This window comes from Homo sapiens, chromosome 14 (genome assembly GCF_000001405.40).
Source record: "Homo sapiens chromosome 14, GRCh38.p14 Primary Assembly".
Taxonomy (NCBI): Eukaryota; Metazoa; Chordata; class Mammalia; order Primates; family Hominidae; genus Homo; species Homo sapiens.
In genome coordinates this window covers 48,574,359-48,599,385 of record NC_000014.9, presented here as the reverse complement: position 1 = coordinate 48,599,385, position 25,027 = coordinate 48,574,359, and the positions used below count along the sequence as shown (strand labels likewise).

General features: G+C 36.8%; 1 long non-coding RNA gene across 1 annotated transcript in view, besides 1 other annotated feature; it reads left to right on the top strand.

The window, feature by feature from the left end:
* LOC105378178 (uncharacterized) overlaps positions 1–25,027 on the top strand; it is an 894,025-nt gene that overhangs the window by 688,638 nt on the left and 180,360 nt on the right. The gene's annotated exons all lie outside the window — the stretch shown is intronic.
* Positions 118–674: an enhancer, noted in NCBI's record as "OCT4-NANOG-H3K4me1 hESC enhancer chr14:49067915-49068471 (GRCh37/hg19 assembly coordinates)". NCBI's record gives its function as "activates a minimal SCP1, AML or CMV promoter by ChIP-STARR-seq in primed H9 embryonic stem cells {active_cell/tissue: H9 hESC(primed)}" and the evidence as "EXISTENCE:reporter gene assay evidence [ECO:0000049][PMID:30033119]".

The window sequence follows — 25,027 nt, the reverse complement described above, 5'->3', positions numbered from 1 at the left end:
TGAGCCCAGGAGTTTGAGATCAGCCTGGGCAACATAGGAAGACCTGGGTCTCTAAAAAATAAACAAATAATAAAATTTTAAATTCCACTAATGTGTTTATTTTTAAATTTAGTTTTCATGTTAATTGGTCATAAACTAATGACATTATGTTTTTTTATCTTTTTTTAAATTTTTTTAGTATTTATTGATCATTCTTGGGTTTTTCTCGGAGAGGGGGATTTGGCAGGGTCATAGGACAATAGTGGAGGGAAGGTCAGCAGATAAACATGTGAACAAAGGTCTCTGGTTTTCCTAGGCAGAGGACCCTGAGGCCTTCCGCAGTGTTTGTGTCCCTGGGTACTTGAGATTAGGGAGTGGTGATGACTCTTAAGGAGCATGCTGCTTTCAAGCATCTGTTTAACAAAGCACATCTTGCACCGCCTTTAATCCATTTAACCCTGAGTTGACACAGCACATGTTTCAGAGAGCACAGGGTTGGGGGTAAGGTTATAGATTAACAGCATCCCAAGGCAGAAGAATTTTTCTTAGTACAGAACAAAATGGAGTCTTCTATGTCTACTTCTTTCTACAGAGACACAGTAACAATCTGATTTCTCTTTTTTTTCCCCACATTTCCCCCTTTTCTATTTGACAAAACCGCCATCGTCATCATGGCCCCTTCTCAATGAGCTGTTGGGTACACCTCCCAGACGGGGTGGCTGCCGGGTGGGGGCGCCCCCCCACCTCCCAGATGGGGTGGCTGCCAGGCAGGGGCGCCCCCCATCTCCCAGATGGGGCGGCTGCTGGGCCACTATCTTCTTAACTGCAGACATGTTAATAGCTTTCAAGCTATTAAGTACCAATAGTGTATTTGAGAGTCTTTTGATTGGCACCCAAGCAACATTTGCTATTTTCACTTTAGGTTATTCTAAATTAGCAACACCTGCATGGAATTATTTTACTAGAAAATTGGAACAAATGAATGAGGAACAAAAATAATAGTATAAAATTTATAGTAGTTATTAATGTATTGACCTGCTTGGTGCATGCATAACTGATTATAATGTTTGCAATTATTTGAAGCCATTGTTTAACCACCAATCCTATCCTATTAAGGAATTGAAAAACTAATTAGGGACATCAGCAAACAGAAAGAGAATCTGAGTCCTGGCCTTGGTCCCAAATTGCTCTTCATTTTTATGGTTTTCTGGGTTTTATTCTTTCCTAGGCAGTTAAATTTCTATGCTAGATACAAGAATTTTCTCAATGACTACCTCCATTTAACTAAGTAATTTGATAATGTAAAATGTTTTCTGAATATACCGCTCCACTATTGCACTTCTGTCGCTCCCATCCTTTTATTTCTTTGGCAGCAAACTTAATAATACATGAGACATTTATTCTAAGTACTTTTAGACATGATGATATTGACCACTCCTAGATAACCCAAATCCCAAAGGTCAAATTTAAACTTGGATCTCATTAAAAATGTTTTATCTACCTGTCTGTTAAAAATATAACACACATGAAGAAAATATTACAGTTTACAGGAATATCAATTGTAATATATTGAGCCAAAGCAAATTTTATTGTGCAAGTGAGATTAAAAGCCAAAAATACAGTTATGAACAGTAATGATGGTTGAGGATACATTTGCTATAGGAAATATATAGTCTATAACAGATAGTTAAACATTGAAACCTTAGAAACAGTTAGGCCTAACTTACTTGGTAATATCCAGTGTTGTAGTGGAGCAGGTTCATATGGATTTTCAAGAGCCCATTACGTACATTTCTCTCCCCTTTCACAATCAGTGACCTTACATTTATAGCTTGACATTGGCCGTGGTGGGAATATTTACACCACAGAAATCAGCAAATGCTTCAAATCAGAGTTTTACCACCCCTGGAGAACTGGGTTGTTAAATGTACTATTATGTCCCTAGTAATATTCTAAGAAGTGAAGATTAGAACATATAACTTTGTAAATTACATTTTGAAGCAAGCACATTCTTCTAGGTGTGTTTCCAGAGATCCTACTTCTACTCTTTTACAGTATTAAAAACTGGAGCTGATGATCCTCCTGAGTTCTATTTCGAAACTTCTGTCTTTTCTAAATCAATTTCAGGATATACTGGACAACAAAGAAAGCCCAAGCAATTTGTCTTCATTCAGGCCTGTAAGGATCACACCTCTCTAGCAGTGAAAGCTACCTCTTCCTGTAGTTTCATCGAATCCTTTTTATTTAAATAGTTTGTTGGCAATACCATTCAGGACATAGGCATGGGCAAGGACTTCATGTCTAAAACACCAAAAGCAATGGCAACAAAAGCCGAAATTGACAAATGGGATCTAATTAAACTAAAGAGCTTCTGCACAGCAAAAGAAACCACCATCAGAGTGAAGAGGCAGCCTACAGAATGGGAGAAAATTTTTGCAACCTACTCATCTGACAAAGGGCTAATATCCAGAATCTGCAATGAACTCAAACAAATTTACAAGAAAAAAACAAACAACCCCATCAACAAGTGGGTGAAGGATGTGAACAGACACTTCTCAAAAGAAGACATTTATGCGGCCAACAGACACATGAAAAAATGCTCATCATCACTGGCCATCAAAGAAACGCAAATCAAAACCACAATGAGATACCATCTCACACCAGTTAGAATGGTGATCATGAAAAAGTCAGGAAACAGCAGGTGCTGGAGAGGATGTGGAGAAATAGGAACACTTTTACACTGTTGGTGGGACTGTAAACTAGTTCAACGCTTGTGGAAGTCAGTGTGGCGATTCCTCAGGGATCTAGAACTAGAAATACCATTTGACCCAGCCATCCCATTGCTAGGTATATACCCAAAGGATTATAAATCATGCTGCTATAAAGACACATGCACATGTATGTTTATTGCACCACTATTCACAATAACAAAGACTTGGAACCAACCCAAATGTCCATTAATGATAGACTGGATTAAGAAAATGTGGCACATATACACCATGGAATACTATGCAGCCATAAAAAAGGATGAGTTCATGTCCTTTGTAGGGTCATGGATGAAGCTGGAAACCATCATTCTCAGCAAACTGTTGCAAGGACAAAAAACCAAACACCGCACGTTCTCACTCATAGGTGGGAATTGAACAATGAGAACACATGGACACAGGAAGGGGAACATCACACTCTGGGGACTGTTGTGGGGTGGGGGGAGGGGGGAGGGATAGCATTAGGAGATATACCTAATGCTAAATGACGAGTTAATGGGTGCAGCACACCAACATGGCACATGTATACATATGCAACAAACCTGCATGTTGTGCACATGTACCCTAAAACTTAAAGTATAATAATAATAAAAAAATAGTTTGTTGGATGATAATCTTACAAAAATTAAAGGTCTCCTAAAGCATATCATCAAAACCAATAGATTTTGGGGACTTAAGAATGCAGCCTTTAACATTGATAAGTAGAAAAGAGTTAAATCAGCAGGTTTTGGGTGCTCACGGTTCAGTAAAAGGTTAACTCCGTGGGTTTTGGTTGTTAAAACCCTGCACACTCCAAAGAAAGAACTAGTCCTTTATCTGCTTCTGGAAGATAATCTCTAAATCCTTTGAATTCCCTGCTTGAAGGGTGTTTTGTTTGTTTGTTTGTTTTTTGTTGTTTTGCTTTGTTTTACCTGTGGCCCTGAGCCAGCCTAAAGAATTTGTGTTAACAATATGATTTTTGGTGGGGACTTTGAGTCACATTGCATGAGTTTGACTTCTGGAGGGGCTGGCAATGGAATTAATCAGGTCAGTCACACTGGTGCTCTATGCCTATGGGACAGATCCTGCAAAATATCCCTGGACACTGCAGCTCAGCTGAGCTTCCCTTGTTGGCAATACTCTGTGCATGTTTGCTGGGAGAATTTAGCACTGTCTGTCTGTATGACTCTGTGAGGAGAGAACAACAGGAAGCTTATGCCTGGTCTCTCCTGAACTCTACTGTTCACCTATTCCTTTGCAGATTTTCATGTGTATTATTTTTTCTGTAATAAACTGCAATTGTGATTACAATAGCTTACATGAGCTCTGTAGGTTCTTTCAGCAAATCATTGAACTTAAGAGGATCTTGGGGATTTCCAATACAGTGGTCTTCAAAGGAGAACACTCATACACTGAGTGGGAGTCAGGAGTGCTTGAGTCTACCCTGCCCTCTGTCATGAATACAACTCTGTGGGCTATGCATCCACTCACTTTGCTAGATTCCAGTTTCTTTATCTATATAATAAATCTAAACTATATGATTTCTAAGTTCAATCCCATATCTGATATTGTATGATACTAAATATGCAATTTACCTATGATATTCCTGGGTAGCCTGTCCAAGATGGCAACTCTCAAAGCCTACATCTTTGAATGCATTGAGGCATGTCATAATACTTCAGTGCCAGTAGTTATTGCTTTTGTTTTTGTTTCTTTCTCCTTCCTAACATCTGCTATTCAAAGGTTAAGTAATCAACAAAATATTTCGAGCTCCCTATAAATATGACAATGTGTTGAGCACTGTGAACAAAGGAGATATTTACCTGAAGTTATAATTATGCTTTTCCTTGTTATTATTAGAAAGTATGTTTAAAATATTATTTTGCCTAAATATGAAGACTGAAAAGCTTTCAAGGTATTGGAAAAAAACTTCTAGCAATTTTAAAATCCCAGAAACATATTTAAGAGAATAATTACATTTGATGGGTGGTAAATAATATCCTCAGAACATAGTGTATGTTTTCCAGTTTCTTACTGAATTGATTCTTACAGTTAACAGTAAGATAGAGGCAGGTACTTGCTTGTTATGTAGCCATCATGTCTTGTTAATAATTATTATGTTTTCACCTACAGGGGCTTTTCAGATTCAAGGAAGCAGGACCAGTTTCTACCCCAAGGGGTAGAAAACAATATGCCAATAACACAGAAATATTAAATAAACACAATTATCTAAATCCTTAAATAAAATTTTGTATAATGTTCAGTTGCATGAAAGAGAAGCAAAAATAAACATCAGAAGTTAATCAAGACTGTTAATTCTACTCACTGTTCCTGCGATAATAAGGTCATACATTTAAAAAGCTGGGAATTTCACAGATTTAACTATTTTTTGGGGTAGTAGAAAAAATAATGTTCTATTTTATAACTGTTCTGGGTTTTTCCTGGGAAGTGAGTAATGGTTTGATTAAGATTGTCTGTGGACAATCTTAATTGAAATTAGCGATTTGGATTCTAAACCAAGGCGTGTAGAATGAATTGAGGCTTTGGATTGTGCAAAATATGTCATTTGGCCTTTATTGTTCTCATCTTTTGGGAGAGCTATGATGGATATCAGGAGAGACATCAAAGTGCCTCCCTTTTTTGTAAGATAAGGTGATAAGGCAATGCATCTATTTTCTCCCAGATACAGAAATGAGAAACAAGGGATGATACTTTTAAAATATGGTAAAATGTTGATACATTTCTTCACTGAAGGGTGCAATTCCTGAAATTTTATTTTTTTAAATTTTTCTTTAAGTTCTAGCGTACGTGTGCACAACGTGCAGGTTAGTTACATATGTATACATGTGCCAGGTTGGTGTGCTGCACCCATTAACTCGTCATTCACATTAGGTATATCTCCTAATGCTATCTCTCCCCCATTCCCCCACCCCATGACAGGCCCTGGCGTATGATGTTCCCCTTCCTGTGTCCAAGTGTTCTCATTGTTCAATTCCCACCTATGAGTGAGAACGTGCGGTGTTTGGGTATTTTGTCCTTGCAACAGTTTGCTGAGAATGATGGTTTCCAGCTTCATCCATGACCCTACAAACGACATGAACTCATCCTTTTTTCTGGCTGCATAGTATTCCATGGTGTATATGTGCCACATTTTCTTAATCCAGTCTATCATTAATGGACATTTGGGTTGGTTCCAAGTCTTTGCTATTGTGAATAGTGGTGCAATAAACATACATGTGCATGTGTCTTTATAGCAGCATGATTTATAATCCTTTGGGTATATACCCAGTAATGGGACGGCTGGGTCAAATGGCGTTTCTAGTTCTAGATCCTTGAGGAATTGCCATCTGTCTTCCACAATGGTTGAACTAGTTTACAGTGAAATCAACAGTGTAAAAGTGTTCCTATTTCTCCACATCCTCTCCAGTACCTTTTGTTTCCTGACTTTTTAATGATCACAATTCTAACTGGTGTGAGATGGTATCTCACTGCGGTTTTGATTTGCGTTTCTCTGATGGCCAGTGTTGAGCATTTTTTCATGTGTCTGTTGGCTGCATAAACGTCTTCTTTTGAGAAGTGTCTGTTCATATCCTTTGCCCACTTGTTGATGGGGTTTGTTTTTTTCTTGTAAAGTTGTTTGAGTTCTTTGTAGATTCTGGATGTTAGCCCTTTGTCAGATAAGTAGATTGCAAAAAATTTATCCCATTCTGTAGGTTGCCTGTTCACTCTGGTGGTAGTTTCTTTTGCTGTGCAGAAGCTCTTTAGTTTAATTAGATCCCATTTGTCAACTTTGGCTTTTGTTGCCATTGCTTTTTGTGTTTTAGACATGAAGTCCTTGCCCATGCTTATGTCCTGAATGGTATTGCCTAGGTTTTCTTCTAGGGTTTTTATGGTTCTAGGTCTAACATTTAAATGTTTAACCCATCTTGAATTAATTTTTCTATAAGGTGTAAGGAAGAGATCCAGTTTTGGCTTTCTACGTATGGCTAGCCAGTTTTCCCAGCACCATTTATTAAATAGGGGATCCTTTCCCCATTTCTTGTTTTTGTCAGGTTTGTTAAAGATCAGATGGTTGTAGATGTGTTGTATTATTTCTGAGGGCTCTCTTCTGTTCCCTTGGCCTGTATCTCTGTTTTGGTACCAGTATCATGCTGTTTTGGTTACTGTAGCCTTGTAGTATAGTTTGAAGTCAGGTAGCATGATGCCTCCAGCTTTGTTCTTTTGGCTTAGGATTGTCTTGGCAATGTGGGCTCTTTTTGTTTCCATATGAACTTTAAAGTAGTTTTTTCCAATTCTGTGAAGAAAGTAATTGGTAGCTTGATGGGGATGGCATTGAATTTATAAATTACCTTGGGCAGTATGACCATTTTCATGATATTGATTCATCCTATCCATGATCATGGAAGGTTCTTCCATTTGTTTGTATCCTCTTTTATTTCATTGAGCAGTGGTTTGTAGTTCTCCTTGAAGAGGTCCCTCACATCCCTTGTAAGTTGGATTCCTAGGTATTTTATTCTCTTTGAAGCAATTGAGAATGGGAGTTCACCCCTGATTTGGCTCTCTGTTTGTCTGTTATTGGTGTATAAGAATGCTTGTGATTTTTGCACATTGATTTTGTATCCTGAGACTTTGCTGAAGTTGCTTATCAGCTTGAGATTTTGGGCTGAGACGTTGGGGTTTTCTAGATATACATCTGCAAACAGGGACAATTTGAATTCCTCTTTTCCTAATTGAGTACCCTTTATTTCCTTCTCCTGCCTGATTGTCCTTGCCAGAACTTCCAACACTATGTTGAATAGGAGTGGTGAGAGAGGGCATCCCTGTCTTGAGCCCGTTTTCAAAGGGAATGCTTCCAGTTTTTGCCCATTCAATATGATGTTGGCTGTGGGTTTGTCATAGAGAGCTCTTATTATTTTGAGATACATCCCATCAATACCTAATTTATTGAGAGTTTTTAGCATGAAGGGCTGTTGAATTTTGTCAAAGACCTTTTTGCATCTACTGAGATAATCATGTGGTTTTTGTCTTTAATTCTGTTCATATGCTGGATTACATTTATTGATTTGCATATGTTGAACGAGCCTTGCATCCCAGGGATGAAGCCCACTTGATCATGGTGGATAAGCTTTTTGATGTGCTGCTGGATTCGGTTTGCCAGTATTTTATCGAGGATTTTTGCATCGATGTTCATCAGGGATATTGGTCTAAAATTCTCTTTTTTTTGTTATGTCTCTGCCAGGCTTTGGTATCAGGATGATGTTGGCCTTGTAAAATGAGATAGGGAGGATTCCCTCTTCTTCTATTGATTGGAATAGTTTCAGAAGGAATGGTACCAGCTCCTGCTTGTACCTCTGGTAGAATTCGGCTGTGAATCATCTGGTCCTGGACATTTTTTGGTTGGTAGGCTATTAATTATTGCCTCAATTTCAGAGCCTGTTATTGGTCTATTCAGGGATTCAACTTCTTCCTGGTTTAGTCTTGGGAGGGTGTATGTGTCCAGGAACTTATCTATTTCTTCTAGATTTTCTAGTTTATTTGCGTAGAGGTGTTTATAGTATTCTCTGATAATAGTTTGTATTTCTGTGGGATTGGTGGTGATATCCCCTTTATCATTTTTTCTTGCATCTATTTGATTCTTCTCTCTTATCTTCTTTATTAGTCTTGCTAGTGGTCTATCAATTTTGTTGATCTTTTCAAAAAACCAGCTCCTGGATTCATTGATTTTTTGGAAGGTATTTGTGTCTCTATTTCCTTCACTTCTGCTCTGATTTTAGTTATTTCTTGTCTTCTGCTAGCTTTTGAATGTTTTTGCTCTTGCTTCTCTAGTTCTTTTAATTGTGATGTTAGGGCATCAATTTTAGATCTTTCCTGCTTTCTCTTGTGGGCATTTAGTGCTATAAATTTCCCTCTATACACTGCTTTAAATGTGTCCTGGAGATTCTGGTATGTTGTGTCTTTGTTCTGAAAATAAAGGGATGGAGGAAGATCTACCAAGCAAATGGAAAACAAAAAAAGGCAGGGGTTGCAATCCTAGTCTCTGATAAAATAGATTTTAAACCAACAAAGATCAAAAGAGACAAAGAAGGCCATTACATAACGGTAAAGGGATCAATTCAACAAGAAGAGCTAACTATGCTAAATATATATGCACCCAATGCAGGAGCAGCCAGATTCATAAAGCAAGTCCTTAGAGACCTGCAAAGAGACTTAGACTCCCACACAATAATAATGGGAGACTTTAACACCCCACTGTCAGCATGAGACAGATCAATGAGACAGAAAGTTAAAAAGGATATCCACGAATTAAACTGAGCTCTGCACCAAGCAGACCTAATAGACATCTACAGAACTCTCTACTCCAAATCAACAGAATATACATTCTTCTCAGTACCCCATCACACTTACTCCAAAATTGACCACATAGTTGGAAGTAAAGCACTCCTCAGCAAATGTAAAAGAACAGAAATTATAACAAACTGTCTCTCAGAGCACAGTGCAATCAATCTAAAACTCAGGATTAAGAAACTCACTCAAAACCACTCAACTATATGGAAACTGAACAATCTGCTCGTGAATGACTACTGGGTACATAACGAAATGAAGGCAGAAATAAAGATGTTCTTTGAAACCAATTCCTGAAAATTTAAATGTTATTAATATTAAAAGCATATCAACAATTATTTAGGGGAATCTGTGATTTAAAAGAATGTGGTGTAGAAGACTCAAATTTCTTATGGTGTTGATTTTACTGATTTAAATTAAGCAACTGTCAACATTATATGTTGATACAAAGTTATTTAAAGATAAGCAATAATCTGAAAAAGAAAGGAAAGAATAAATAAATAAAGCAAAATAGCACACAATGAGATCCTCTTGTTTGCCAAGCTTGACACTGGCTACTGGGGTTTCATCTGTAAGCAGAACCACTTGTGTTCAGTTGGATGATCTGATCTTCATTCTTTTTGTCTCTGTGTGGAAAACAAAACAAAGCAAACAAACAAGCAAAAACTCTTTATGTGTCTGGAGAAAAATGCCTTTTAAAGACGATATGTGATGCATCCTATTTCATAAAAGTCTTGGGTCCCAGAGACACAATGTATGGATATTTTTGGAAGATGAAACAGCAAGTCCTTTCTTGGAGAAGGGGAAATATTGTTATAAATTGTTAATGTGAAACTGATGAGCCCTCTCAGGGATGTGAGGGGTGGGCTGGCACAAGAACCATTGGCTGGGGCTTTGTTAACGTCACTGAGGCACACAGGTAGAAGGTTCTCACAGCTGCCTCCAGAACCCCGGCCATCAGGGACTTTTAGACCAGGAAAACATGTGGAAGCTACACTGCTTCACTCTCCCACTCTTCAATTGGATGTAGAAGTTTTCTTTTTTTTCATTCGCTCAGGTAGACGTGTTTTCCAATCTTTAGTGAGGTTTCTGGGCAAAGTTCAAGTCTCTGGTTGAGACCCTAGGTGGCTTGCTGACTACTTTGTCATAACTTCTTCCAGGTCCTAAGGTAACTCTGGCCCACAGAAGTTGCTCACCAAAGAATTGTACCACCGTTCTCCTTCAAATAATTTTCTACTTGAATTAAATCATTTGAAAATTGCTTACCAATGTTATTCAGTTTTAGGTTACAGTAATAGACCAACCCACTTACATTTCTTCATCATCCATATTTTTGCTCTTGCAACAATTAGGGTCTCTAATTTTCTCTGAAATTTTAAAAATATTTGGTATTTTCGTATAATTATATATCCATTTATGCCACCGAACAAAAGCGTGCTCTCACAATTATTGTTGCTGTCTCCTATTGGGCTGGTAAATAGGGTGATGCACAGAGAAGTACACTTTAAGAAAATGTACACTTTAAGAACCTCAATAATGTACGAAAAGACCACACAGTTACATGAGCATTTTGAAATGACAGGAAATTACAAGAGAGAGAATGTAAATGCAAATAAGTTAATTAAATTTTAAACAACTACGGACTTTTAAAGCTTAAATCTTAGAAGGGGCCTCAGCCATTCACTATGACACATTAATTTTTTGAATTGAATGAAGATGGTTTTAAAAGAAGTTTACTGAAATAGTACTTTTTTGTTTGCAAGAAAAAGATATTTTTCTCATCAACTCATATGAGGAAATCATGGGAATGCTAGAAGTGACTGCTGCTGGCCTCATATCCTTCCACCTTCACCACCAGAAAAGTTTTTCCCAGCTCAGTGTAGAAAAACTATTGGCCTGGTGCAGTGGCTCATGCCTGTAATCCCAGCACTTTGAGAGGCCGGGGTGGGAGGATCATGAGGTCAGGAGTTCGAGACCAGCCTGGCAAACATGGTGAAGCCCCCTCTCTGCTAAAAATACAAAAATTTGTCGGGCGTGGCGGTGGGTTCCTGTAAATCCCGGCTACTCAGGAGGCCGAGGCAGGACAATCACTTGAACCTGGGAAGTGGAGCTTGCAGTGAGCCGAGATCGCACCTCTGCACTCCAGCCTGGGCAACAGAGCAAGACTACGTGTGAAAAAAAAAAGAGAAAAAAAGCTATTGCCAGACTTGGATCAGAATTTCATTCCTAACAGTGCTTCTCAAACTTTAATGTGCATATAATCACCTTGGAGCTTTTTAAAATACACATTCTGCTTGGGAAGCTTAGATAGGTGAGGGTAGAATCTGAGATTTTGCATTTCTAACAAGCTCTCAAATGTGGCTGGTGCTGGTGATCCTCAGAATATAAAAAAAATAATACTGATGTATGCTTCCTACTCCTATAGATTCCAGCCTGGACATTTGGAATTTTAAATTCCCCCAGCAAAGTTTGAGAACCACTGCTTTTGAGTATGACATTTCAAAATTTCCTGATCAGAAAACTCACTTGGGGTACCTGTTTGAAAAAAAGAATTGCTAGGCCCCATCTCAGACTCAATGGGTGTGAATCTCCAGAAAAAGGACCTAGAAAGCTGTATATTTAACAGCTGATTTTTCAGTCTCAGGAAAGTTTGTCAATCATTGTCACGGAGCAGTCATAGAGACCTGGGATGTGATGTATTACTACTTACCCTGGTGGATCATGAATCCACTTGTAAGCCAATCTAGTGTGTACTAGGGAAAAAGTGTCATGCCGCACATCCCTTTAGACCTAATTTGAGGAGTGTTGATGGAGAAGAAAATTGGTTCTTCAAAATGATAGGGGTGTGTGAATTGTCACTCTGGGAATTACTGTGAGTTTGGGAGTCTGCCCCTTAATTTGTGCATAGTAGAGTTACCTTCCAAAGGAGGAATTTTAATGGCCACATTTTCAGTTATTTTGTAAGCAGATGCTATCTGTGATTTTTTTTTTGTTTTAAACATGTATTTAATATTTTGAAATTTTAATTTTTAAATTATGATTTTTATTTGACACTCAAATTGTAGAATTGGCCACTTTTTTTTTCTTGAGACAAGGTCTCATTCTGTCACCCAGGCTGTGGTGCAGTAGTGCACTTACAGCCCACTGCAGCCTCAAACTCCTGGGCTTAAACAATCCACCCACCTCAGCCTCCCAGGTAGCTGAGATGACAGACATGCACTACCATATCTGGCTACTTTTTTTTTTTTTTTTAAACATTTTTTAGTAGAGACGAGGTCTTGTTATGTTGCCCAGGTCGGCCTTTAATTCCTAGCCTCAAGTGATCCTCTGCCACAGCCTCCTAAAATGTGGCCGTTATATTTATAGAAGGGTTTCTTATCAAGTTACTTTTGGTGGTTTTAATTAGTGATGTTGATAAGGATTCAATATGTGTATATGTAATATATAAATGTTGTTTCTTAGCAAATATCCTTGGAAATTTTGAGTTAGAATGATGAAAGTATGCTAGATTGCTAAAACTAAAAACTGTTGTATTTATGTTGTTTAGACATGTATTGACCCATTCTGAACGCCAGGCACTGTTCTAAGACACAAAATATCTCTACACCACCAAGGTAATGCAGACTCTTCCTGAAAGCATTGAAGATGCTTAGTAAAGTGTATAGGCTTCTTATTCCTTACACACTTGTCCCTTTTAAATGACACCGATTCTTTAAAAGGTACAGAAGAGTGGGATTCAGTTTGAGGGAGACATTAGTTTTGTGGAAAATAAGCATTCTTTTTCTGATTCTCTTTTTCTCACACATTAGAGTAGGCATAAAGGGTATTTTGTTAGTATGAAATTTGATTGGAATGCAATTTTGATTTATTCAGGCAGAATAAGACTAGTATTGTTGCTGCCCATTTAAGTTTGCAGCCCATCTTTCAAAGCATTGTCTGCTCAAGGACAGTACTTGTAGTACTTAAAGACACAAAAGCAGCAGGCATGCAAACAAAAACTGCCTTTTTACCCCCACCTGGTTATTTTGCTTCACTTCTCTTCATCTGAATACACATAAGCTTTTCTGAGGATGTTTAGGAAGAGCAGACTGTTATCCCTAAGTGTCAAGTGGAGTGGCGAACCTATTATTTGCTTTGTTTGACACAGAGGAGAAACTCAATGAATATTTTTTTCAGTGAACAAACTGGTTCATATAATTTCCTCACCTAAACTGAATTAAGCCTGTGGGAAAGGGATTGTGGAGTGCTTTTTAAAATCTTTCCTTTTATCCATCCATCTTATCGTTTTTTTTTTAATTAACCTCTACTAATTCTAAGTCTAAGGTAGTCTGACTTGTGGCTTAAAATAACTGAGTGCCTTCCACATACCACTCATTGTTTTTGTTGTTGTTGTTTGCTTTTGGTAAATCAAATGCAGGATTTAATTTTGAAAATATTGTTTCTTCTTGTTCTCCAAGCATGAAACAGACTTATTTATTCGTTTTATTTTTGCCTTATGCTGAAGGCATAAGCTGAAACTTAGGTGGTTGGGAAGGTATCTCAAAATATTTGATATAGATCTCTTTGTGACTTGGCGTATTCATCCTATAGTTATACAAGGTTTCTTGGAGCATTTCTCATTCAAAGCACAAAATACATTCTTCGACGAGAACAAATAAAAATACAGTGTACAGTCTGATTAATTTCTAAAACTTTAACAATTTCTAGACATTTTTGTTATCAGTCCGACTTTATAAGGAACTTCTCTGTATACTTACTTAGTAGATACACTTTCTAATAGCATCTAATATTACTGACACTGTGCACATTTTTACACATAACTTGCAGAAGCTTACCAAAAACTGGAATAAAAACATTGAAGAAAAACTTTGAAGAAAAACTTCAGTTGTAGAAAGCTTAAGTAACACAGTGCATTAAAATGTTGTGACCCTACTCTATAACAGGAATTCTCCTAGGCACTCTGCACATATTCTAATTCGTAGTATAGTTGTAAGGTATATGTAAGTAACCATCTCCATCATAGGCAAGATAACCCATTTTTGCTAGTTTAAGTGGAAAAAGGATTCATTAAATTATTACACAGAATCTTTGGAGAGGCCAACAATTCACATTTTGATGTAATTAAAATCACACCACAGTTGGATATAGCAGGTACAGAGATTTGACACACTCTGCCAGTATCTAGATCCTGGACCTCTGCCAGTGCTGTCTCTGGAGCATAAACACCTCCTGCCATCCTCATCGCAGTGATTCTATGGGGAGCCACTTTTCTTGAGTCATTCTCTTCAAATTCAAAGTTTCATACAGCGGTGGGAAAAACCTATGTCACATGTCAGTATTCCACCTGCAATGGAGGCTGGGAAAATGATATTTGTCTCTCTTACAAACATGAAACTTAGGATGTGGAGAACCCCCAAATCTAGGAAGGATATTTAAAAGATTCTGGGCAAACATAAAATGTCCACTAGAATAGATATTGAAAACCCATGATGCAGATGAAAAATGAAGGCTTAGTGAATTTCTCAAAGTAAAGCCTGACTTCAAACTCAATTCTACATGGCTCCAAGGCCTAAAGCTATCATGCTTAGCAGCAGTGTCTTCTGTATTCAGCATTGCCGAATTGCTCTAATTAATGGCTTTTTGATCAGAATGATTTTCTTTAACACAAGAATATTATTAGTGAGTTATAACTGTATTTTTTTCAACATTTATTAAGGCTTGATTCTATGTTCAGCAATGAGTTAAGTTTTGGAAATGCAAAGATTAAAAAAATTTGATGTTTTCAAAGAGCATATAAAACTTCAAAGAGCATATAAAACAAGAGTTACTCCTATTTGGATGTGTGTGTTTGTAAGGGCACTCCAGAGAAGCAGAACAAATAGGATGTGTATGTGTACAATAGTCCCCTTAGCTGCCGTTTTACTTTCCCTGGTTTCAGTTAACTGTGGTCAACCAGAGTCCAAAAATATTAAATGAAAAATTTCAGAAATAAACAATTCATATATTTTAAATTGCACACCATTCTGAATACCATGATGAAATCTTGGGCCATCTGCTCCATCAAGCTCTGGATATGAGTCGACCCTTTGTCCAGTGCATCCATCCTGTTTCTACTTCCCACTCATTAGTCACTTAGTGGTCATCTCAGTTCTCAGATCCACTGTTGGGGTATCACAGTGCTTGTGTTCAAGTAACTTTTATTTTACACAATAGTAGCCTCACAGCACAAATGTCATGTAGCTAACTTATAAATTAAACTTTATCTCAGGTATATATGTATATATAGAGACAGGAAATAACATACCGTGGTTTCAGGTATCCACTAGGGGTTTTGGAACATATCCCCCACACATAAATGGAAACTACTGTATGTATGAAAAGGGATTTATTTTCAGAGAATTGGCTCATGTGATTATGAAGCCTGGCAAGTCCAAGATCTGCAGAGTTGGCTGGCAGACTGGCAATCCAGGAAAATGTGATGCTGTACTTCAAGCCTGAAGGCCATTAGGCTAAAGACACAGAGAAGAGCTGATACTGCAGTTCAAGTCCAAAGATCTGCTGGCAGAATTTCCTCTTGTTCTAGGGAGATCAGTTTTTGTTGTATTCAGTCCTTTAACTGATTGGATGAGGCTCACCCACATTATGAAGAGCAGTTTGCCTTACTCAAAGTCCACCAATTTAAATGCTAATCTCATCCAAAAATACCTTCACAGAAACATTCAGAATAATGTTTAGCTACATATAAGTGCACCATGGCCCAGCCAAATTGACACATAAAATTAACCTTCACAATTATTCATAGACTTTATAAGGCATTCTTCTTCATCCTTTGGAGACAGAGATCCCAAAATGACGAGCATTAATTAGGACTAATTTTAATATATCTATATTTATATTTATCTCCTGTGTTCTGATTTCACTTTACAAAATTTAGAGGTGTGAAAAAAAAGCAAAACTTTAAATTCTATTGCCATTATTAAAATATAGTAAAATTTGGGAGGAGGGTTGGCATTGTCTTGTCTCAAGTACTTGATATGTGGCAAAATAAGTATATACCATTAGAATTTAATTTAGAACACAAATACAAAGCATTATTGGCTAATTTTCTCTGAATTTGCTCACACTGTTTTTGAGAAACTTACTTTCAGAATGACAGAGTACGTCTTAAAATTGTGCTTATGTGTCATGGGAAAAATGAAAGAGATTTCTAGATGAATACCCAGCAAGTAATAGATGTTAATTTTAAATATTCGCTATATATCTATCCTCAGTATTTCAGTCTGTTGAATCAAATCAACTCAAATATGCATTGTAATCTAAGTTAGCCTGTTATGTGCATATATACACATCCCTATAAACATATAAATATATATGTCTATATATAAAATAATCAATTTTATAAAGTAAGTTTTGAATTTATAAAGAGATAAATCTTTAACACTGTAACAAGTGTTTTTCTCTAATATTCTTGGGAAATATCCTATTTTCCTGAATTAATCTAACAAAAAAGATGAATCAATTTTACTTTATACTTATTTAAAAGCATCTTTTCTAAAACAGTTGGTTTTTTTTCAAATTGATAAAGTGGATTTTTAATAATCTACAAAGCCAAACATTTGCCAAATGTGAGAAAGAACAAAAATTGTTGTCTAGACACTGAATTTCCATCAGAGTTGAAGGGGAATTTTAGACTTCTTGGTTGTAAATACTGTTTAAACACATTTGCATAGAATTAGGTAATCATTATTGCTAAAATAAATTTTTCTCAGTGTGAATAAAGTTATTGTAATGCACCTATTTCTTTAATATTTATTTTTTTGCTACACTAACTGTATATTAGGCTTTCAAAATAATAATTCCGACTTTGTTTTTTACAGATCTCATTCGGAAAAGAGCCTCTAGAAGGTTAAATAAAGCCATTCTATTTTCTCAAAATATCGCTAAACTAACAATGAAGAAAACTTTATAAAATTTTAAAAGGTCAAGGAAAACATCTTATATTTGAAATAAAAAAATAATTACTAAAACCATATTTTTTATTTCTTACAAGAAGTGAACAATAATTGGCCAAGAATTCAAGAAGGCTTAGTAGACTTTGCTTGTTCATATATAAAGTTAGATGCTTGAGTGCCTTAGGTTTTCTTTTCCATGCTCTTTTTTTTTTTTTTTTCTCTTTTTATGTAGGAAGTTTGGGTGGTAAGAATCCACATGCTCACTAGAATCACCCAACAGAACATTAGAACTCTGCTCTTTTGAAGGATGAATAGAGTAAGTTACTACACACATAATTTTTGACTTATATTAAAATTGTAGTTAAATATAAAAAGCACAGAGGAGTCAATTTAAGGTTATGATTACCTATATACAAATGTAATGTCTACATATAAAATAAATTACAAAATTTTTGCTTATAATTAGATTCAAAATGCGCTTTCACCAAAATATGTAATGTTGTATTATAAGCATATAATTACGAGATTAATTTACAATATTGTCATACAAAGTTTTTTTATTGAAGTGAGGAATTACAAGTACCAGATAATGCTGATTCCAGTGAGTTTGTCTGATGCTTTACATTTGCTCTGTATTTAAGCACTTCTTTTCTATCCTACTTAACTAGATTTTCTTAAATAAAATATTATAAAATTTAGATGAAACAGTTTCCTACAAATCATGAATCTCTACTGAAGGGCTGCTATAAAAAGTCAGGTGATTGAGAGAGCTATGTATTTTATAGTGATATGGAACAGATCAATACGATTAGAGCTAAGATATTTTCCAAATTGTTAGTACCCAAAAATAATTATTCTGATGACAGGTAACTCTTAAAAAACACAACAGAACAAGAACAAGACAACAAAAACTCTTCAATTTGCATGAAATATATCTGCTTTTCTCGGCATAAATGATAGGCTAGCCTCATTTTTAGGTTTTCTGTGAAAGTTGATCTATTATTATCTGCAACAAAATAATTTGATATTTAAGAAATCTTAAAACTTTGATCTTAGAGAAAATAATTAAAACAGGAAAAATGTAGGTGTATTGGAAATAAATAGTCTCCCTAGTTGAAGTTAATTAGAGGAATCTGCTGTTAGAGCTAGATAGTTGGAATATGCCACTCTTTTTCTACTCTTGGGGTTGTCTGTGTTTATCTTGCATCTCTGTAGCCACTTAGACTTCGCTACCTGAAAGGTAGACTAAAAAGGGGTCATCTGTGTGTTCCTTTAATAGATTATGTTGGTTGTATTTCAAATTCTAGTTATAAAATCTAAAATTTTTATATCAAATATGTTTGTTACAAGAAGTATGTGAAAAATTATGTTTATAAAGGCAGGTTGAATGTTTTGGAAAAAACTTGATATAAGTAATTTTCTGTCAAATTAGACTTGGGTGAGACTGTTACAGGTAGTTAGGCATGAGTGGGTCAGGAGAGGGCGCTTCCTCTCACACACTAGAAATGGTTCCATAATTATTGCATTGCCTCTTAAAAAGTGATAAATTGGCACCCGACGCCAGGGAGACGCCATTTCTTGATGATCCACACTTGTTAACGTTAAAGTGTTAATTAAAGACCAGCCCCAGGGAGAATACACTTCCTGGTTATGCACATTAAGAGACAAAAATGATGAAGTATGATCTCCTAGGTACACTCCACCTGAAAAAGGAAGAAAGCCTCAGATGGGCATGCATATAATCCCTTAAAAACACTGCATGTGCGCATTTCCCAACGGTAGGGGAGGCTCTGAGCATGCGGGCAGCCCACCCTAAGAGAAGAATCATGGGAAAGAGGCGAGCCTACAAAAGTCCTAGGACCATAGCGACATGGGGCACTTGACTTTCTCTCTCTTTAACCTTCAGGGGCCCACTTGGATCTCTTCCAGGTGAACTTTCCTTTCTTTCCTGTTCTAAGGCCTTTTAAATAAACTTCCACTCCTGCTCTGGAACTTGCCTTGGTGCCTTTTTCTGCTTTATGGCCCTCAATTGAATTCTTACTTCCGAGGAGACAAGAATTGATTTGCCACCAGATAACTCATGTAATTCAGATCTCTTCCACTGGTAACAAGACTAATCATACCTCACTGCAAACCCTAATTAGCTTCTAGAAGGATTCTGCCCAGAGTTTACATAGCAAGTATATTTCCCACATTTCTAAAAAATAGACTATAACTTAATAAATAAATAAATACAAATTATATTTATATCACATTATATAATATGTAACTATATTATATAGCATTATATATGATGAATTAATATACATTATGTTTTAGGTTAAAATAAAAATGTTTTCGTTATGTATCTATTACTTTTTATGGTTCCCTTATTTGACTGGGTTTTAAATAAACTGGCCAAAAGAATTTCTAATTTCCATGTTTTCATTTCTTAACTAAAGAAATACATGAAAAATATTCTCATGTGTGGAGAAGAAACTTGTCAAAGATAGCTAGAAATGTATATTGAGGATGATGTGTTATTGTAGATTTTCCTTTTCTAAATTAAATAACTCAATTTTTTCAGCACCTCATCAAATGTATAGCAGAATGAAAAAAAATCATAAGACCATAGTGGTATACTCAGTTCTTATTAATTATCTAAACATTCTATTTCACTGTTTATTGTGAATTCAAATAATAATAACAATAAACTGTAGTTGGTCCATTTACCTGAAACTATACTTGTAATTGTCCCAAGTAGTATTAGCAGTAGACCTTCTTAAATATAAGAAATGAAATTCATATATAAGTACATGTTTTTCTCCTACAGTCATACATGAATTAGATGGAGGACCTTTGTCAGCCTTCTCTACATTCTACCAGAAGACAGCAATGGAAAGATTTCATCCTGAGTAGGGGCACATTGTAAGATGTGTGCCCTGCGTAAGGGTGCTGGCTGAAGGTCTGAGTGTTACAGAACCATGCCCCTGGTATTGGGCTAAGTCTGTCCCTAGGGAGAAAAGTGCCTTTTTTTTTCTAATTTTCACAGGGGGAAGTGATGAGCTAGCTATTGCACTGCAGGAAAAAAATCATTTCTATTATTTCTTGGAGCTAGAAAACATATTTGGACTGCTTATAATTATAATAATCTTGGTAATATTATCACTGGTCAGTGAAATGAGAGTCCTTTGAATTCTTCATCCATGTGTCTACTATAACATATTACTCATGTGCTCTGGTAACAATATATTTTAAAAGTGTATTTTTATAAATATGTCTTTATTTTTTGAAGTAAGAGTTTTGTTATTTCTATTTTTATTATTTCCTATTATTATTTAAAAACATTCTTTTCCAGCTTTATTGAGGCATAATTGACAAATTGTATAAGTTTGGGGCATACCATATGATGATATAATGTGAAATGATTGTCAAAATCAAATGACTTAATATATCTAGCGCCTCACTTAGTTACCATTTTTTTGTTGTTGATTTATTTTCTTTTGTGGTAAGAACATTTCATATCTACTCTCTTAGCAAATTTCAAGTATACAATACAGTATTGTGAACTATAGTCACCATGTTGAATATTAGCTCCCCAGAACTCATTTCTCTTGTAACTGAAAATTTGTATCCTTTGACCAACACATCCCCAGTCCCCCTAACCCCTAGCCACTGGCAACAACCACTCTGCTCTTTGTTTCTGAGAGTTCAACTTCTTTAGAGTCCACATATCAGCGAGATTATATAGTATTTGTTTTTCACTGTCTCACTTATTGCCTTTAGCATAATATCCTCAAGATCGTTCCTTTAGCATAATACCATCAAGATCCATTTATCTTGTTTTTCCTATTGCAAATGGCAAGATTCTTTCCTTTATAAGACGAATAGTAGTCCACTCTATATACATATGTACTGTAATTTCTTTGTCTATTCATCAGTTGATGGACACTTGAGTTTTCATGTCTTGGCAATTGTGAATAATGAGATGAATATGGGAGCGCAGGTCTCTTCCAAATACGGATTTTGTTTCCTTCGAGTATTCATCCACAAATGGGATTGCTGGATTATATGGTAGTTCTGTTTTTAATTTTTTCAGGAACTTCCATACTGTTTTCCATAATGGCTGTATCAACTTACAGACCCACCAAGAGTATAAAAGTGTATTTCTTATTGCTAAATTCTACAGGGAAAATTCGACAGTTTATTTTTCATTGCATTTATTCTTCTATGGTTTTCTATTGAAGTACTATTTTAGAATTTGGATTCATAGTTTGAAAGCAGAACTCTTTGTAAGCATTTTTTCCCTCACAACATGTATAGAGGGATAATACAGGTATTTCTAAATTTAGCTAACATTACTTTAAAGATATAATTCCAAATTTTCCTGAATTAGATCAGATGAACAGATTAATTTTGCAGTCTTCCTCAGCTTTTCAATCTTATATTTTGTTGTTCTCTATTGTTTGTTTTACTGTGTACAGCCTTAATCTTTATTTGAAACTTTTACCTTCCAAGTGCCTAGTTTTAAATGATAACAACCAGAAAATTAACAATCGCATTGGAAGAGCAAAAATTCTGCAAGGGTCATAAAACAGAATATATTTCTCTAAAAAGAAAACTCAACATTTAAGTGGAAACATGTGTACAGATGATGCTTCTCTGATTATTTGTTCTGCCAAGACCTGGTTTAAATTGTATATGTCCTTTGGAAGGCCACTGTTTTTCTTCTTCTTATACCACTTTGAGTTTTATTTTCACTTTTGCTTATCTGTGAAAGTTACTACAATTTGTACTTTTTGGCTTCTAACCTCATATTCCAACTGACTACGCATGAGTAGAAAGATTAAAAACAACAGTTACAGGCAAATGCATATAGACTAATTGGGAAGATGTTGCTTGTATATTGTATATTTATCTTTGTTTCTGTAATGCTCTTTGTCAGAGCCCATTTACCTCATGCCGTGCCTGGAACAACAGCATCATCATCCTAATATTCTTTCCAAATAAATCCAGATCAAATTATAGACTATAACTGAGTATGTGGTGAGTCTGCCAAGTAATTAAACCACTCACTGGTGCTAACATCTGAAATTCAATTACCTTTGTCACTGGGAATATGATGACAGTTATGAGTCCAGTGAAAAGTAACTTTTTTTTTCTAAAATCTAAAATCTTTTTTTTTCTAAAATTTTTCATTATGGTTATATTTTGAAAGGACTGTAATGTGAAGGGTTGTCTACTCTAGATCTTCCTTCAAATGATGATTTTTAGGATGCTGTTACTTTTCTGGTTGGTTTCTTTGGAGATTTTGTGTGGACTTGTTTATACATAAAGCATACAAACAATTTGGGTTCTGGTTCTGGAGAAGTATCGATTAGAGGGCAGTGAACAGGGAGAATGTTTCTTTTCAATAATCTTGTGTCAACAGTAAGTTCTGTGAAAGCTGTTTGGTGTTTCCCCCTGCTTTTTCTCTGAGTTATATATTCACTAGATTGGCAGTTCAATATTCTTCAGAAGAGAAAGCAAGCTCGAAGAAATAGTCTCAACTAATTTATCCAGCAAGTGTTCACTGAAGTTCTATTCTCTACTATGTACTGCGAATGTCCTGGAAAGACAATGGGGAGCAAACTGAGTTGTTACCTTTATGGAAATTATAGTGCAGTAGATGTCGACATTAATCAATACTTTCAATGTCCAGTTATGTTTTGAAAGAAGTATATTATTTCCGTGGAGGTGACAATGCTGATCGATCTGAGGTCAACAAAGTCTTCCTAAGGAATTAAGTGTAAATTTATAGACAGTGGGTGGAAGGACCATTCTAGGACTAGGAGAGAGTATATGCAAAAGTTTTGATATGGGGAAAATGTGGCCCCTTGTGAGAAAGAAAACAAAACAAAACATGATAAAATCCAAAAATTACCAGAAGAAATACCTTTAAATACCTTTTTGATTCTAATATGAAGTTTTAAGTTTTTTTTAAAAGAAAAACTTATGGAGGGTGGTACCAAGACGGCCAAATAGGAACAGCTGCAGCCTGCAGCTCCCAGCATGAGCAATGCAGAAGATGGGTGATTTCTGCATTTCCAACTGAGGTACCGGGTTCATCTCACTGGGACTTGTTGGACTGTGGGTGTTGCCCACAGACTGTGAGCCTGAAGCAGGTGGGGTGTCGCATAACACAGGAAGTGCAACGAGTTGGGGAATTCCCTTTCCTAACCAAGGGAAGCCATGACAGATGGTACTTGGAAAATCAGGACACTCCACCCTAATACTGCGCTTTTCTAATGGTCTTAGCAAACGGCACACCAGGAGATTACATCCCATGCCTGGCTCGGTGGGTCACATGCCCACAGAGCCTTGCTCACTGCTAGCACAGCAGTCCAAGATCAAACAGCCAGGTGGCAGCAAGGCTGGGGGAGGGGCATCTGCCATTGCTCAGGCTTGAGTAGGTAAACAAAGTGGCCAGGAAGCTCGAACAGGGGGGAGCCCACCTTAGCTCAACAAGGCCTGCCTGCCTCTGTAGACTCCGCCTCTGGGGGCAGGGCATAGCTGAAGAAAAGGCAGCAGAAACGTCTGCATACTTAAACGTCCCTGTCTGACAGCTTTGAAGAGAGTAGTGGTTTTCCCAGCATGGAGTTTGAGATCTAAGAACGGACAGACAGCCTCCTCAAGTGGGTCCCTGAACCCCGAGTAGCCTAACTGGGAGACACCTCCCAGTAGGCGGGGACTGACACCTCATACAGCCCGGTCCCTCTGAGACAAAGCTTCCAGAGGAAGGATCAGGCAGCAACATCTGCTGTTCTGCAATATTTGCTGTTCTGCAGCCTCTGCTGGTGATACCCAGGCAAACAGAGTCTGGAGTAGACCTCCAGCAAACTCCAACAGACCTGCAGCTGAGGGTCCTGACTGTTAGAAGGAAAACTAACAAACAGAAAGGAATAGCATCAACATCAACAAAACAGACATCCACAACAAAACCCCATCTCTAGGTCACCATCATCAAAGACCAAAGGTAGATGAAACCACAAGGATGGGGACAAACCAGAGCAGAAAAGCTGAAAATTCTAAAAATCACAGCACCTCTTCTCCTCCAAAGGAATGCAGCTCCTTACCAGCAACGGAACAAAGCTGGATGGAGAATGACTTTGATGAGCTGACAGAAGTAGGCTTCAGAAGATCGGTAATAACAAACTTCTCCGAGCTAAAGGAGGATGTTCGAACCCATCACAAAGAAGCTGAAAACCTTGAAAACAGATTAGACAAATGGCTAACTAGAATAAACAGCACAGAGAAGACTTTAAATGACCTGATGGAGCTGAAAACCGTGGCACGAGAACTACATGACACATGCACAAGCATCAGTAACTGATTAGATCAAGTGGAAGAAAGCGTATCAGTGATTGAAGATAAAATGAATTAAATGAAGTGAGATGAGAGTTTAGAGAAAAAAGAGTAAAAAGAAATCAACAAAGCCTCCAAGAAATATGGGACTATGTGAAAAGACCAAATCAACGTCTGATTGGTGTACCTGAAAGTGACGGGGAGAATGGAACCAAGTTGGAAAACACTCTTCAGGATATTATCCAGGAGAACTTCCCCAACCTAGCAAGGCAGGCCAACATTCAAATTCCAGCAAATACAGAGAATGCCACAAAGATACTCCTCGAGAAGAGCAACCCCAAGACATATAATTGTCAGATTCACCAAGGTTGAAATGAATGAAAAAATGTTAAGGACAGCCAGAGAGAAAGGTTGGGTTACCCACAGAGGGAAGCCCATTAGACTAACAGTAGATCTCTCTGCAGAAACTCTATAAGCCAGAAGAGAGTGAGGGCTAATATTCAACATTCTTAAAGAAAAGAATTTTCAACCCAGAATTTCATATCCAGCCAAACTAAGCTTCATAAGTGAAGGAGAACTAAAATACTTTACAGACAAGCAAATGCTGAGAGATTTTGTCACCACTGGGCCTACCTTACAAGAGCTTCTGAAGGAAGGACTAAACATGGAAAGGAACAACCAGTACCA